The sequence below is a fragment of the Homo sapiens genome, chromosome 17 (assembly GCF_000001405.40).
Source record: "Homo sapiens chromosome 17, GRCh38.p14 Primary Assembly".
Classification (NCBI taxonomy): Eukaryota; Metazoa; Chordata; class Mammalia; order Primates; family Hominidae; genus Homo; species Homo sapiens.
The window spans coordinates 57,774,123-57,790,650 of NC_000017.11; the positions used below are offsets into that span (position 1 = coordinate 57,774,123).

General features: G+C 46.8%; 1 pseudogene, besides 2 other annotated features; it reads left to right on the plus strand.

Annotated features, from left to right (window-relative positions):
- Nucleotides 692–892: a silencer, noted in NCBI's record as "peak2914 fragment used in MPRA reporter construct". NCBI's record gives its function as "represses an SCP1 promoter by STARR-seq MPRAs in K562 erythroleukemia cells {active_cell/tissue: K562}" and the evidence as "EXISTENCE:reporter gene assay evidence [ECO:0000049][PMID:32103011]".
- Nucleotides 9,259–9,438: a silencer, noted in NCBI's record as "silent region_8751". NCBI's record gives its function as "represses an Ori minimal core promoter by ATAC-STARR-seq in GM12878 lymphoblastoid cells {active_cell/tissue: GM12878}" and the evidence as "EXISTENCE:reporter gene assay evidence [ECO:0000049][PMID:35858748]".
- RN7SKP94 (RN7SK pseudogene 94) lies at nt 15,327–15,569 on the plus strand (annotated as a pseudogene).

The following is a 16,528-nucleotide window of genomic DNA, read 5'->3' on the forward strand; positions in this document are numbered from 1 at the left end:
TTTCATTGTTTTAAAGAAATGCCAAGCTGAAGATATGAGGGGAAAAAAATGGATAAGCTACACCATGCCCTTTGAATCATTTGGGTGCTTTATGCATAGATTTTTATCCTTAAAAATAGAGAGGGGAATTAGGTTATGTTTGGAAGGGCTGAACCATCAGATCTGGATTGCCCAGTGGCCAGCCCCGGGTGATGTCTGCCTATTGATTGTAGAGACACTGGGAAAAAGATGTGAAGACTGATCTAAAGTTACCAGCTCTGGAGAGGTTGCCAGTGCCTGATAATTGGCACACATGGAACGCAAGTCCATCTGAGAAGAGCAGGCTGGGTTCGCGCTGACTGGGGCTCCCTGGATGGAAACACCCCACCTCACCCCGACCTGTGAAAGAGACACCCACCTTGCTGCTCATTGCAAAGGGTGGTCTGTGCTTTGTGGAACTTCATGCCCCTCCTGAGCCCAATGCTCAATTCAGGAGGCCTCATTCGCCCGCTTGATGCTGATGGTTGAATGTGGTCTCCTTCCATCCTGGATTGCACTCTCAATTTGCAAGGATAAAGAAGGGAGACTTTCTGCAAAGATGATGCTCCCATTCATGATAAGGGGCAACATGCATTTCAGCTTCCTGCAGCCCAGGTTGGTGCCAGGGTGGAGGTGGGAGCTGATCATTTGCAAGGAGACGCGGAGAGATGTCGCCACACCTTCACTGAGAAGCACATCTGCTGCCAGAGTCCGCTTGTACTGATAGTGGAACATGGTCAGCTCTCTGGCTGTGATGTCCCCGCCAGCAGGAGGACATCCAGGCCCCTGATGGATGGGGTGGCTCTCTTATTTATCAAGCCATCAGAGTCTGCTACCTACCAGCACCTCAGCCTCTTCTGTTCCTCCTTCCACTAGTTCTTCGTGGTCTTGAACACTGCTTGTCCCCCAAGATGGCTCTCCCTTCTTCCTGAGCACATGGTGAAACTACATTTCCCAACTTCCCTTGCAGTTAGGTGGGGGCCATATAACTAAGATGTCTTCAAACAAATGTGAGCGGAAATGAGGGGTGCCACTGCCAAGCCTGAGCCTTCTCTACGTTCTCTCCCTTTCCCAGTGGCTGGAACCACAGCAGCTGAGCCTCAACCTATAGACAAAACCAAGGCCTGATGGAAGGAATTTGAGTGCCTCCAGGACTCTGTGGAACACTCACCTCAAACTGCTACACAACAAAGAAGTAAACTCTGTCTTACATAAGCTACTCAATTACTATCGGGTCTATTGGTTACAGCAGCCAAGCCTGACTTCTTACCAATACCCCCACTGCCTCCCGACTAAGAAGGCAGCAGTTCTCACCCCAGGGAGGTAGGGCAAGAGAAAGGTTTCTTAGAGGCAGAAACCACAATATAGAGAAGCATTCTGTCTGAGGCATCACCTAGGTGAGACCAGAGGCCAAGAAGACAAACCCCAAACCGTTCTGATTTCTCCTCCTTTCTTAATTATAATCCCATTTGTAAGCCAAACCCTTCATTCTGTCTCTCTTAATGGCTAGTTTCTATTCTGGTCCTTTTTCAACCCTATTCTCTTTTGCAATATTCAGGAGTTCAGGCAATGAAGGGGTAAGGCTGTTCCCTTAGAACGCCAGTCCCTTCTCTATCTTTTTAAATATTTCAGTTGCTCCCAATCCTTATTTTTGCATTTCGATTTCCTGTGGTACAGTAAATTTATCTTGGTCACTCAATCAAGTTCTACCTGGCTCTCTCCCCTCTTATCTCTCCTGCTCCGGGCTGACTGAAAATACCTACATTATCTTTGCAGCCAATATGCCGACTGGAAAAAAAATCTACAGATTGTCTTGATAGGGAGTCATCTGAGGGAAAACTTGGAAATGCTGGACTTGTCAGGACAAGGATGAAGTGTGAAACCTCAGTCAGTGACTTTCTTTCAAGGTTAACCGCATGGCGCAGGCCTCTTCCAGAGGCATTTATAAGGACTCTCCTCCTCTTTGTTTCAGTTCAGAAAGAGACCTTCCTTTGTATCTTTGTCCTCCCACGGAATAGGTTTACTCCTCACCACACCCCCTCACCTGGCCGTGGATCGCCTTGACCCGTGAGTCCCTGAGCCCCAGGCTTCCCACTTGTGACACCAATGTGCCATTTGCAAATTACTGCAAATATCAGTAGAGAGCTCCCAGCAGAACCCTACAACCTAAGTTTGAGAGAAAAGTTCTATCTTTGCTGCCTGGAATCCTGAGGCTCTCGAATCAGAGAATCTCTCCTTTGACTACGTTTTTCCCCCTCCTGGAGATTAGAACGTGGGGAGGATGGCAGGTGAAAATCTGTTCTTTTTAAAGAGGATTGCTGGATCCGGAACCAAATCTCAGTGGCAGGCCTTACTGAATGACCCTAAGCCCCCTCAGCTTTGGCGACAGATGGACTTTGCATGCGGCTCACTCTCTGGGAAAGTGCGTGGATATTGGGCCGCCAGCTGGCTTCATTTCCACCAAACCATAGCCTCTTGATGAGTAGCCTCATCACTCGGGCACTGGCCAGTGGGAAGGAGGGAGAGTGCAGGTCCTTGTCACGCAGGCTGACTGATGGTCGGTCGACCCACGTAGATCCAGGCCATAAACAACAGTTACTTGTTTGAGGTCCACATTGTATTGTCTTATCTGTTCAGAAGCCACAGATAATTTGAGGTCCCTCTCCTCAAAGGACACAAGGCCTTCAGCCTCAGCTCTTGGCTACATGTGGCCACCCCTCTCAAAGTTGGTAAGAAAAACCCTTCCCTCCTGCCTTAGAGCTTTTTCTTCTCCTTTCAGCCCACTTATTCCCCTCCCTTTGGGTTCCACTTCTGTTCACTCCTTGGGACATATCTCAGTCATTTTGTCCCATTGCATTTGATGACTCTGGACTTAGGGATGGGGAATAAGATATGCGTTTGGATCCTGCCAGATGGATTCCTCTTTGCAAATTTCTTGTGTGTTATAAGAGCAGCTCTGGTTTCTTCTTCGAGGTTTTAACACTTAGGAATTACATTTATCTTCCTGTAAGAGAGATCTGATCGATGTGGCCTAAACAGGATAAAGATTTATTTCTCTCTTGTGTTATAGAAAAAAAAGAAAGAGTCCGGAATAAGGCAGCCCAGAGCTGATCTGAGAGCTCCCAGGATCCTTTTTGCCTCTGTTCCACCATCCTCAGCACGTGGCTTCCATCCACACCATGGCTTCACAGTGGCTGCTGGAGCTCCAGTCATCATGTTTATATTCCAAGCAGGAGAAAAGAGAAACAGCCAAAGAGTTTCCACTTAATTGACTATATCTAATGGCAAAGGAGACTGGAAACTAGTTTATCACCTGGGCATGTTGTCCAAGGTCCTGACACTAAGGAAGAAAATAATGGATATCGGGAAGGCAACTGAGAGTGTTTGCCACAGAGGCAATCAGAGTGGTGGGGAGGAGTGGAAACACTGGGCCCAGATGCCATCCTTTGCTCCACTAATCACCAGGCGGGAGAGTTTGGATGAGTTACTTAATTTCTCTGTTCTTCTACGTCCTCATCTTTATACTTGCAGTAACCACAGTACTGACCTCACAGTCAGCAATACTATTATTGGTTGATTATTAGATGGATTATATAGGAAGCTACAGTGTTCCGGTGCATGGTAAGTGCTTGGTAAATGCTAGTTTTTGTCATTCCTCTGCCTATAGTGGCATTATTGATGCCCTCAACTGTTACCCTGCCTGGTACACACCCTTGCCCAAAGGCAGAATTGCATTTGGGCTCAGCTAAGGGAGTAGGGAAGAAAGGTTACAGTGCATCTCTTTAATTTCCCACTCCCAGGGCCCAAAGGACTCAAGTCACTTTGGAATGTCCCTTCCTTGTCCTCTCCCTTTTCCCACTAGAAGGACAAGGAGCAGAGAACACAGAGGAGGTGATGCAGAATGATGTCTCCATGTCCTTTCTATCCATCCCAAGCCCCAAGTTCGTATTGAAAATGCCAGGCCGGGTGTGATGGCTCAAACCTGTAATCTCAGCTGAGGTGGGAGGATTGCTTGGGCCCAGGAGTTTGAGACCAGCCTGGGCAATATAGTGAGACCCCATCTCTTAAAAAAAAAAAAAAGAAAGAAAGAAACATGCCAGCCCTCTTACTGTAGTCATTGCCAAGGATAACTGTGCATAACCCTGGTCCAGGGGCTTGGGGAATCCACTTGGCCCTTGCCCCAGGGAATTTACAGTCTAGAACAGGGATCGGCAAACTATAGCCTGCTGGCAAAATCTAGCCTGACAGCTATTTTTGTAGATAAAGTTTTAGTGGAAAATGGTCACATTCAACTGTTTATATATTGTCTATGGCTGCTGTTACATTACAACAGCAGAGTTTTGTACTGCAGTAGACATGGCCCACAAAGCCAAAATTCTTACTCTCTGGCTCTTCACGAAGAAAGTCTGCCAATTTCTGTTCTAGAAGGAGAAAAAGAACACACGTTTAAAAATATCAACAGGGGAACATAATCAAACAGTAGATTGGATGACATATGTAAAGGTAAAGTGAAGAGCCTGGAAGAACTGAAAGCGACAGCTAGCAGCGCGTATGTACAGAGAGAAGAGGAGTGGAACAGAATGAGGATATGGGCAAAGCTAACCTTGGCCTGATCTGTTATGCTTTGTTTTATAAGGATAGTAGACTTAGGTAGTTAAAAACTAATTTTTAAAAGAGTATATTGATTGCTGGAAAGACTGTGACATGTTTAACACTCTTATAGATTCCTAATAAAGTATAAATTAATATAACCCTTTTGGAAAGTAATTTGGAAAAATGTATTGAGAGCCTTAAACATGTTCCTACTCCTGGCCTCATAATTTCACTTCTGGGAATCCATCCTAACGTTATAAACTAAAATGTCAAAAATCTTTATGCACAAATATATCAATTGTGATATGACTGCTAGTAGCAAAAAGCTAGAACCACTTAGATGGTTAGTTACATAGAAGTTAAATAAATTATGAGGCCATGTACAGTGGCTCATGCCTATAATCCCAGCACTTTTGGAGGCCAAAGCGGGTGGATTGCTTAAGACCAGGAGTTCGAGACCAGCCTGGCCAACATGGCAAAACTCCATCTCTACAAAAAAAAAAAAAAAAAATCAACCGGGCATCAGCCGGGCATGGTAGCACATGCCTGTAAGTCCCAGTCACTCAGGAGGTTGAGATAGGAGGATGATTGAGCCCAGGAGGTGGAGATTGTAATGAGCTGAGTTTGCCCCACTGCACTCCAGCATGAGCTACTCAGGAGGCTGAGGTGGGAGGATGATTGAGCCCAGGAGGTGGAGATTATAGTGAGCCGAGTTTGCCCCACTGCACTCCAGCATGGGCAACAGAGTGAGACCCTATCTCAAAAAATGAAATAAAATAAAAAGAAATTATGATACTTCCATATGATATATAGTGACTAAAATGATGTTCACAAAGAATTTATAAATAATTTGGGGAAATGCTAAGTGAATAAATAGGATACAAAATCATATGTAGTTTCATCAGAGTTGTATTAAAAAGAAATATTACAACCAGAGGATACCCAAATGTCACAAAAGTTATCTTCAGAGGAGTGTATGATTTATGTTTTTCTTTGTTATATTCATATATATTTTTTGTTCTAGAACATCTTGGTTTTATTTTCATGAGGGGGAACCTGCATATCATCTTGAATTCTAGGGGTTTTCAAAGAGTGCTGTCATGAACTGAACGTTCCTATGTTGAAATCCTAACCTCCAGTGTGATGGTAGCAGGAGGTGGGGCATTTGGGAGGTGCTGAGGTCATGAGGGTAGAGCTCTCATGAATGGGATTAGTGCCCTTAGAAAAGAGGCCCCAGAGAGTTCCATCATCTTTTCTCCACATGAGGACTCAGTGAGAACATAGCCATCTCTCAACCAGGAAGCAGACCTTCATGAGGCACCAAATCTGCCAGGGCCTTGACCTTGAACTTCCCGGCCTCCAGAACTGTGAGAAATAAATTTCTGTTGTTTATAAACCACCCAATCTAAGGTATAGCAGCCCAAACAGACTAAGACAGGTGCCAAGTTGATCAGAGATTCCGTGAAAACAGAAAAGAGAAGGTGGGTGTTAATCACCTCATTTCTATAGGGTCAGGAAAGCAAATAGAGGGAAAGGAGAGATTTACACTCCATTCCACCAAACTGACAGGCCAGAAGCATGCTCTGTGGACACAGCCCCACCGCATGCTCCTTCACCGTGCTCCATCCTCCACTGCTGAGAGCCTGGTGGGTAGGGGCTTAAAGGGCCAGCCTCTCCCCACTCCACAGAGTGAGGTTTCAGCTTCTTCCAGGAGCAGGGGTCCAGCTCTTCAAGAGAGAGGGAGAGGAGAGAGGGTCAAGGATGAACAGGGTCCAGGCTCGGTGACTTATGCCTGTAATCCCAGCACTTTGGGGGGCTGAGGTGGGCAGATCACTTGAGGTCAGGAGTTTGAGACCAGCCTGGCCAATATGGTGAAACCCTGCCTCTACTAAAAATACTAAAAATGCAAAAATTAGCTGGGTGTGGTGGTGGGCACCTGTAATTCCAGCTACTCGGGATGTTGAGGCAGGAGAATCACTTGAACCCGGAAGGCAGATGTTGCAGTGAACCAAGATAGTGCCACTGTACTCCAGCCTTGTGAGACTCTGTCAAAATAAATAAATAAATAAAAAGCTGAACGGGGGAGGGGGGCATCCATTTTCTCTCAAGGGACTTTTGAGTCACTGGGATCCCTGCCTCCTGAAAATTTTCCTCTGGTTCAGACCTTCAGTTCAATTCTGAAATCTGCAGCAACCCTATTTGTTTGGGCTTCTCTTCCCTTATCCTAAAAAAAAGACAAGAAATAATATCAAAGCTGGGTCCTCAATCCATGCAGTATGTTAGGAAGGCTCCAAGAGATGAGGTCTGCTTGAAGGCGGGAAATTTGGCATCTATATGGGAAACCCTTTGGAAAACAGCTACAGACCCTTCTGCAAATCTCAGCCCCTCGGCTTTGGGGTATGAAAGAACAGGCCTTGAATTCTAGCTTCGCCATGCCTGACCTGGATGTGTGACCTCAGGAAAGATACCTACATTCTCTGAGCCCCATTTGATTCATTTGTAGGTTAGGGTAGGGGATGGCCATCCAATAAGTGTTGCTAAAAAATACCAGAAATAATTTTTGTAATGTACACTGTGCAATAATTGGCACATTATAGGTTCTCATAAAAGGCATTTTTACTTATCAAATTACATTTTCTGAGCACCCTGATGACGGGAGGGCAGTAAACTGGAATCAGGCACTAATCTAGAAAGGATGGTTAGTCTGTATGTTTTCCAAAGCAAAAAGAATCATGAGTTCTATTTATAGGCTCTGATGCATTCAGCCTTCAAGAAGCAACTCAAACCCAGGCCTCCATCCCATCAGCACCATCCCTGCCCCCTGCCCCAGTCCAGTGTTCCTGACCACAAAAGCCTGAAGCACGCCCTCTCTCCCCTAGACAAGGGGAGCAATCACTGTCAGAACCACTCACTTGATAATTAATCACAAAGGGACCTGTGACATCTCTTCTTCTGTAGTCGAAACTGATATGTTCACTGTTCCCAGATACTGAACTCCCCACGTATTTGGATCTCGTCTCTTCAACTAGATTACAAGTCCCTTGAGGGTGAGGTGCTTCCTTTACTTTTCGCATTCGATAGGAGATTGATACTTGTCGCACTTTGAATTTTTGTGTTTGTTTAGATCTAGTCCACAGGAAGTACAGCTACACTTGGCAGGCGCAGGGTGGAATAGCTGTAGTTCTAAACAGATCAGGACAGCTCTGGGACTGGCTGCTTCCAAGAGGGAAAGGCAAAATGCAAAGAACTCACAGCAGGAGGGGGCTTTCTGTGCCCCTCAATGTGTGGCTCTAACCACATCAGTGGGTGGAGGGCAACGCGATGCTGTCAAATCAGGGACCAGGTTTGTGTCTGGGGTGATGCCAGGACACTGGTTGCTTCCTGCCACCCACAGCTGCATCTGGGAGTCCTGGGCAGCAGCCACCTGGGGAAGCCAGACTTAATCAGGAAGTGTGGGGGCTGTCAGCAGGGGCAAGGGGCCACGCAGCCAAGCCAATTCTGGAATCTTTTGGAAAGAGGAAACATCCGGCTCCTCCTCCCTCACATCTCTGCTTCTGGGTCTGGGCTTGTGGGTCCCAGCTTGGGCTAAGGAGGGCCATGCTCCGGGTGGGAGCAGCTGTGTCCCCACCCCCTCCTTCCCATGCGACTTGAGGCCCTCTGGTCAGGACTGGAGCTGTCACATGCAGCCAGCAGCTGTGGTGGCGCCAGGCTCAGGCACCCACCACATGGCTTCCTTTTTTTTTCTGAGATGGAGTCGCCCAGGCTGGAGTGCAGCGGTGTGATCTTGGCTCACTGCAACCTCCGCCTCCTGGATTCAAGTGATTCTCCTGCCTCAGTCTCCCGAGTAGCTGGGATTACAGGCACGCACCACCCTGCCCTGCTAACTTTTATATTTTTAGTAGAGACGGGGTTTCACCATGTTGGCCAGGTTGGTCTCAAACTCCTGACCTCGTGATCCACCCACCTCGGCCTCCCAAAGTGCTGGGATTACAGGCCTGAGCCACCGCGCCCAGCCCACATGGCTTCCTTTTGATTTGGGGCCTCCCTGGCCAGCTGTGCCTCCCCCGCTACCAGGGCAGCAAATGGCCAGTGGTGTCCTCGCAGAAGGGGCGGAGGAGGGCGGGGAAGGATTAATGCCACCTGCTTCCCTCCTCGCCCTGTTTCATGTGACATGCACTTCAAAGCCACAGGACACTGCTGCCCTTCTTTGTTGCATCCCTGCAGATACGGGAATCTGATTTTCCCAACTAGGAATTTGTATTTCAGCGGTTCTAGTGCTTGGGATCTTAGAAAGAAGCTTGCTCAGAAAGAACTTAGGAAACAAAGCGATGTTTGAGTGCCTGCCCCGCAGCGGATCTACCCGTTCCAGGAGCTGAGCGAGACACCTACCACCTGCCAGACCCAGGGCATAGCCGAGGGCCTTAGCCTGCTGTCCCCACCGGGTCCCCACTATTTTAACACCAACACCCTGAAACCATGGGCCACCACCCCCCACCTCTACCCCGCCCCTACCCCACGACCCTTTCACCAGAGCAGAGGTTTTTCACAAATCTCCATAGAGATAGCTTTGCTAGCAGCAGCAGCAGCAGCAAACTCTGATGCAGAATGAGGAAGGGGAGAGCCTGGGGGTGTGGGTGGCGGGGGAGGGAGTCGTCGCAGTCCGGGAGCCAGGCTCTCGGCGCGTTGGGTCCGCCTCTCGTGACAGCAGAGCGCCCCCTGCTGCCCGAGCCCGGGTGGTGTCGCACAGCCAGGTCGGGGAGGGGGCGGAGCTGCTTCCTGGCACAGCGGGTCGCCCAGACGGGCGGGAAGAGGATGCAGTCTCTCGGTACTGAAGTCTGCCTGCAGTGGCCAAGGTCTGCCGCAGCCCCTCTGGGTTGGGGGCAGTTCTCTAGGGCGTCCTGGTTAGGTCAACGGGGGCTGGTTGGGAACCTGGCTCTACCATGCACCGCCTGCCCCGCTATGGACATATGGTTTAACCTCTGAAGCTTCTGTTTCTTCATTAAATTGAGATCATCAATTGTACCTGCATCACAGTGATGTTTTACAGAGATAATTCATGTAAAGCACATCCTAAGGTTTCAATAATAGTAGCTTATTATTATTGATTCAGCTGACACCTCTACAACTAAGTGATAGAACAACTGAGAGGGTCTGGTAGACAAAAGTCAGGGGATTTGTTTTTTCAAAGCATTTTCATCATTAAATGGATCTGATCTGGTCGCATGGGCACATTTGAGGGACATGCAACTTTGCCTAAAGGGGAAATAAATGCCAGAGATATTCACAGAAACATCAACCACAAACAATTACTGAACACATTGATCAATGCTCTAAGCTGTACAATAAAGAAAAGGGAGGAAAGTTATGTTTAGGGCAGCTCAGCCCTGCATTCTCAAATCTTCCCTCTTCACTGGATATCTATTAACTACAAACATGCTGAAACATCTCCCATATAAGAAAGCAAACAAACAAAAAAACTCCTTGCACCCTATCTCCCTCCAGCTAGCCCCTTACACCGGATGTCTTTCCTCCCCTAGAGGGCCAAATTTCTTGAAACACGCTCAGTGACTCCCTTCCTGTCCTGTTAGCTCTTGAACCCACTTAATCAACTGTCTGTGCCCACTTCACCTTCCCTGCCCTTGTCAAAAACACCATGACCCACACCGTTCATCCCGTGGCTCATTCTCAGGCCTCTCCCCTCCACCCATCAGCGACACTGACGTAGTTGATGGGCAGCTCCTTCCTGATCCTTGAAGCACTTCTTCCTTCGACTCACCCCTGGTTCTCCTCCTACCTCTCTGGCCAGTCCTTCTCTGTCACCTTTGACTGGAAGCTCCTCTTCTCAACCCCCAAACATCAGGACACTCTGGCTCGGTGTCCAGCCTCTGCTGTATCTGTGCGTCCTCTCAGCCTTATGCCTTAACTGCTGCACAACGACGCTGTCCACATGCATATCTCTAGCTGAGCACCTCTCCTGAACTCCACATTTGCATATCCCGCAGCCTCTTCACCATCTGCACTTCGGTGCCCCATCGACATCTAACTTAACATGTCCAAACAGAGCTCTTGATTCCTCTCTCCTCCCTGCCTTTCCCATCGTTTTTTTTCTTCACTGGTTTCTCCTGAGAAATCTTTCCCATCCTAATATGGGTAACTTCACAGTTCTGGTTGCTCAGGTCAAACAGCGTGCTCATCCTTATGTGTCTCTCTTTCACACCTTCCACCAATCCATCAGCAAATTCAATCAGTTTGACCTTCAAGATGTGTCTAGAATCTGCCCACTTCTTGAAATCTCCACTGCTACCCCCAGTCCCAGCCACAGCCATCTCCTGGCTGGGCTCCCAGCTTTCACCCTGTTCCTCTGAGGACATTTCCACATAGCAGAGTCTTTTATGACAACAGCTGAATCGTGTCACTCCTTGGCTTAAACTCTCCAAAGCTTTCTCTTCTCACTAAGAGAAGAGGATGCAGGGTCCTTGCACGGACTCCAGGGCCACATGTGGTCTTGCCCCTGGCTTCTTCTCCAACCTTATCTCCTACCCTCCCCGTGCTCACGTCACTCCAGCCGCACTGGCCTCCTTGCCATTGGTGGAGTGTGCTGAGCATGATTCCGCCTGAGGTCTTTGTCCTTACTGCTCTCTTTTCCTGTAACACTCCGACCCCAGACAACCACAGGGCTCCTTCCCTCACTCCATTCAATCTGTGCTCATTGTAGTAGCAAGGCCTTCCCTGACCACTCTCTATAAGATAGAAACCCCAACCTTTCCCCTTACTGTGTGTATTTTTTCTTCATAGCATGTATCATCACTTGACATAGTATAAGTTTCATAGTTATTTTTTGTCTCCCCCAACTAGATTGTAAGCTCCATGAGAACAGGAACTTTGTTTTGTTCACTGCTGTATCCCCACTTCCTAGTACAGTGCCTGGCACATAGCAGCTGCTCAATAAATATGTGTTGACTGGCCAGGCACAGTGGCCCACGCCTGTAATCCCAGCACTTTGGGAGGCCTTGGTGGGTGGATCACCTGAGGTCAGGAGTTCAAGACCAGCCTGGGCAACATAGTGAAACCCAGTCTCTACTAAAAATACAAAAATTAGCCGAGTGTGATGGTACGCGCCTGTAATCCCAGCTACTCGGGAGGCTGAGGCAGGATAATCGCTTGAACCTGGGAGGCAGAGATTGCAGTGAGCCGAGATTGTGCCACTGCACTCCAGTCTGGGCGACAAAGCAAGACTCTGCCTCAAAAAAAAAAAAAAAAGTGTGACTACAGGAATGAATTAGTCCATACTGACAACCCCCCACTGCCTGGCTAGGAGGCAAAAGATCCAAGGGCAGCTTCAGCACTGACTTCAGAGACATATTCATGACTCTGTGCTTTGTCTTTCACCAATAACCCATTAGATAGGCCTATAACTAGAACATAAGCAATAATGCTTTAGCATTCTCGGTCTCAAAAATATTATGTAAAACCTTTAAAGGTTGTGAGATAACATGATATCTTCCACTTCTGGGCTAGACAATCAGATTTCATTTTTTTCCATCATAGGAACAGAGACAAACTTGTGAAATCATTCACCCCAGATTTTCTCTCTGTTATATCATGTCATCACTTCTATCACTCATTGTTCTAGTGATACATTCAAAATAATGAACATTCAGGGAAATGCCGGCTGGGTCCAGGATGGCCCTGGCTGTTTTTAATCACACTCTTAAATAAAAGCAGAAATGCACCTGACCTTGTAGCATCTTCGGGAGAAAGAGGGTCAATGCTTCTAAATCTAAATCTCCCAACTTATTTCACCTAAAGATCAATTGTAGAATTGTGTGCACTGCAAGAAAGACCAAGAATATACTCAAAAATTGACAGAAGGACAGTGGCTTAGAAATCCACTCTTTTCCACAAATTGCACCCTCCCAGAGTCTATCAACTTCCCAGCCATATGCAATATCACTTTCCTGTGTTCATCTTGCCTAGATGGGGATGCCTTTGGGTGAGTGAGACATCTCCAAATAAGTAAAAGCTGTTTCAACTGGCTCCCACTTCTGTTTATTATGGAGTACCGTGAGCTGCCACCAAGCAGAAGATCCCGCTCCTGATATTCATGGTACTTTTAACTTACCAAAATCATGTCATGTATTATTAATCTCTATGGGAATAGGTGCAAAGCACTGACATCTTCCAGCAACCCCTTGATCCACTTGGTTCTATCCCTAGCCTCTCATGCTAGTTCACCCTTTTTAAGTCTATGTTCTGATTTACTTCTTCTTGGTGCTCTTGGGCCCTGGGAATGCAAAGTCCTTTCTCTTTGGGTCCAAGGTTTACCCCTCAGCCTTCAAATGTTAATTATTCTCCTTGAATATGACCTCATTCTTTCATTCAACAAATATTTGGACTGGATAAACTGATATAAATTCACAATTACCATTAGTGTGCTAAGTACTAAATAGAGATATTTATAAGGTGCCAAGGAAGCCTAGAGCAAGATTACTGGGTGGGGAAAGAATCTAGAAGATGGATTAGGGTTGGGGGCTGAAGGCGGCTCACCAGTTGGGAAGTCACTGCAATAGCCCAGGCAAGACACTGGTAGAGCAGCTGTGAGTGGTGGGGATGGTGCTGGGGATGGACTGGACCAGGGAAATTACAGAAGTAACTGGATAAGAGGGAGAGGGGCAAGTCCAGGGATACTCCCAGCTTTCGGGTGCAGATAACTAGACATCCACATCCCCAGAAAGATTGTTTGCCACCCCTTTCTCCTTTCTCTTCCTTACCTTCAGGATCCAGCCCATGTAATTGTCCCCAGTATAGTCACAGCTCCAACCTACCAGTCTCATCACACACCCTCTCTGTGACTCAGTTTCCTCATTCATAAATGGAAGCAATAATAGTCATTTCCAAGTAAGTTCGCAGTGATGAATAAACAGTTAATCTGTGTAAAGTGTTTTGGATAGTATCTGAGACATAATAAGCACTCAAAAAAATGTTAGCTATGGTCATCATCATTAAGGTCATCATTTCTTCCCAACCGCCCATCCTGAACCACCGTGCTTCTTTCCCACCTCAAGGAGCTATCCGTGTGTTCTTGGCTCCTCTGCTCTAGGTCTATGCACAGTCTAACATCTTTCCAAGATTTATTTTTTAGATTCCCAAATTTCTGCTGTGGAGGAACTCTTTGCTGCAAGACTTTAACTTGTTCTCAAAGTAAGCTGAATTAAACATGGAGATGCCTCCCTCGGCACCCCCAGCACTCCGCTTCTGCTGTATCCACAGCCGAATGAAACAATATAATCAGGACAGAAACTCCATTCCTTGGGTGGGTGCTGCCAACCACCTGCCTGGCTCCAGTTGAAACCTGCTTGTTTCTTTTTCCACTCTCTAAATGCTCACAGATGTCTGTCTGTTTTCCTCTAATACTTGACTTCCAAAAGATGGGGGATGATTGGCTACTTGTAAATATGTTAATCTCTCTTTTTCTTTCTCTCCTAATATCAAAAGAAGCAGGGGGTGCATGAGGGGATCTTTTTCTCCTGGGTGGAGTTAAAGTTGGCAAAACCTGCCAACAACTTTGTTGCATATTGAAGGGGGCTAGGAATAGTGCATTCCTTGACCAGAGAATTTGACTGAGCTCTTAACCCCTTAGCGTTAATCGCTCCACCTCCACTAGGGCTTTGAGAAGCATTAGAAGGACCCCAAACCAGGGAGTGGCCAACATGACCACAGACTAGTAGGAACCAGACAGGGTCTAGCTGGGAGAATTGGTTTCTGAATTGCTACAGGACATTCAGATTAGGGAACTGTTCCCAGGAGGAAAAGGCAGGAATGAACACCAGTGGTCCAAGCTGAGAATGGGAGAACGAGGACATACTCTAAGCATGTCCTCCACCACAAGCCTGCTTTACAGCATCTTTCAGAAAGGGCTGAAGGCTTTACATAGGAGAAGATACTGTCTCTGGTGTCAGAACCTTTAAAGTTTGTATCTGAGCAGGAAAATATTTACTATAGAAGGTGTGGTACATGGAACAATGTCGTTCAAAACTTAAAGACTCAAATCTGAACTATCGTGGGAGTGTAAGTTTATGCAAAATCTGTGAAAAGCAAATTGGCCAGATGAGTCAAGAGCCATAAAAATATCCATTATCTTTGACTCAGAACTCCCACTTCTGCATTCGATCCTAAGGAAATCACTCCAAATGCAGAAAAAGATGTCTGCTATGGGGCAAAAATGGAAACATCCCATCTGCCCATTTATAGGGGAAGAGTGAAAAAAATCAGGAGGAGCTCCTTGAGAAACCAGCTGGCAACATGTCTCTTACGAAGAGTACATGAAAACATGGAGACATTTTATAACAAGGCTGGAAACAGCAGTTACACTAACATTTGTATATGCTAGAATTTCAACCATTGGCTGAAGATGATGGAGACAGTGCATTTCAAAAGAAAATGAACAGAATGAAATAGACGAAAATGGATTTATGCTCGTGTTTCGGTGATAGAACTATGACTAGATTTTTTTTTTATTTTCCCCTTCTTTTGTATTTTTCAAGAGTTCTTTGATGAGGTGTTTTACTTTTAAAATGGAAAATAAGTATGGGTCTTCAAATTAGAAAATCCATCAAGAGTTTTTGATCTAACCTCAAAATGAAAAGTTTTTCATGGAAGTCATTTTTCCAGAATTTATTTCATTCCACTGAAAAGTCTATTGGCTTGGAAGTTCTGGATGTGAGGGCGATCTGGCTGCAACGTCTGTCACCCCATTGATCGTCAGGGTTGATTCGGCTGATCTGGCTGGCTAGGTGGGTGTCCACTTCCTCCCTCAGCACTCCATGTGCGTCCCTCCGGAGGCTGAAGAGGATGACCATCCCCGACAGAGGAGGACCGATCTTCGGTCAAGGGCATATGAGTAGCTGTGCTCCCTTGCTAGAACCTCCAAACAAGCTCTCAGGTTATGCCACTGGAAGTATATTAACACATCTTTGCTCCCTGAAAATGCCCATGCTTCCTGAGCTTTCATCTCCAAACAGGAGGGATATTGAGTGGGGGCAGAAGCAATTATGGTATATACAGCCAACTACAGACTGCTGTTTACACAGGAACACCCCAAGAAAGTCAGGATAAAGCCTTGCACCAGATGACCTGATTTACCTAAAATACTGCCTCTCTTTATGGGCAGTCCCAGGCAGATCTTTCAGGAGTACCCGTCTTTTGTGTTGCAGACACAGATATGAGAGGACCCAGAAACGGAGGAGGAATAAGAGTTTGAGTATGAGAACCCATTTCCTTCAAGCCTGCCAAAACAGTCCAGAACCTGTGTGCTGTGAACTGTGGAATGAGCCAGGGCCACTCAGAAGTCCTCCCCACCCACCAGCAAGCCCTGCAAAAAGGAGAAACAACTAATCACAGTGACTTGTGTGCAGCATCCTGAATCCTAAAGACAGAGCTACTTCAGGGAATACCTGGGTGGATACCAGGCGGGAAGTCCAAGCAGCACCACCTGCGCCTCTGTCCCAAAGGGCTGACACCCCCTGTAAAGGCAGAATCAGCAGATCTCCCAGGAGCTCCAGAGTGAGTGAGCTAGGGGGTGGGGGATTGTTGCCTAAAGGGCATTTTTTTTTTTTTTGCATACTGCTTGAGAGAGCCTGTTAGACTCACCTCTTAATTGCGACTATTCTGTTTGTGAAACAGAAAGAGATTGGTAGATAAATGCATAAGGAAACAAACAAAAGGACCACCATCAGAAGCCCCCCTATTTTATCAGAGACAGCTCTGGTTTGGTTAGCCTCCAGGCAACTTCTTGGAGGGTCCTGCATCTTTGAAACCTCTAACTTCCTTCTCTTCCACACCCCTCCCCATCCTGAACACCCATCTCACTCCTGGCTGTTTATCTTTTTTTCAGCCAATCAAAGAGCTAAGCAATTTT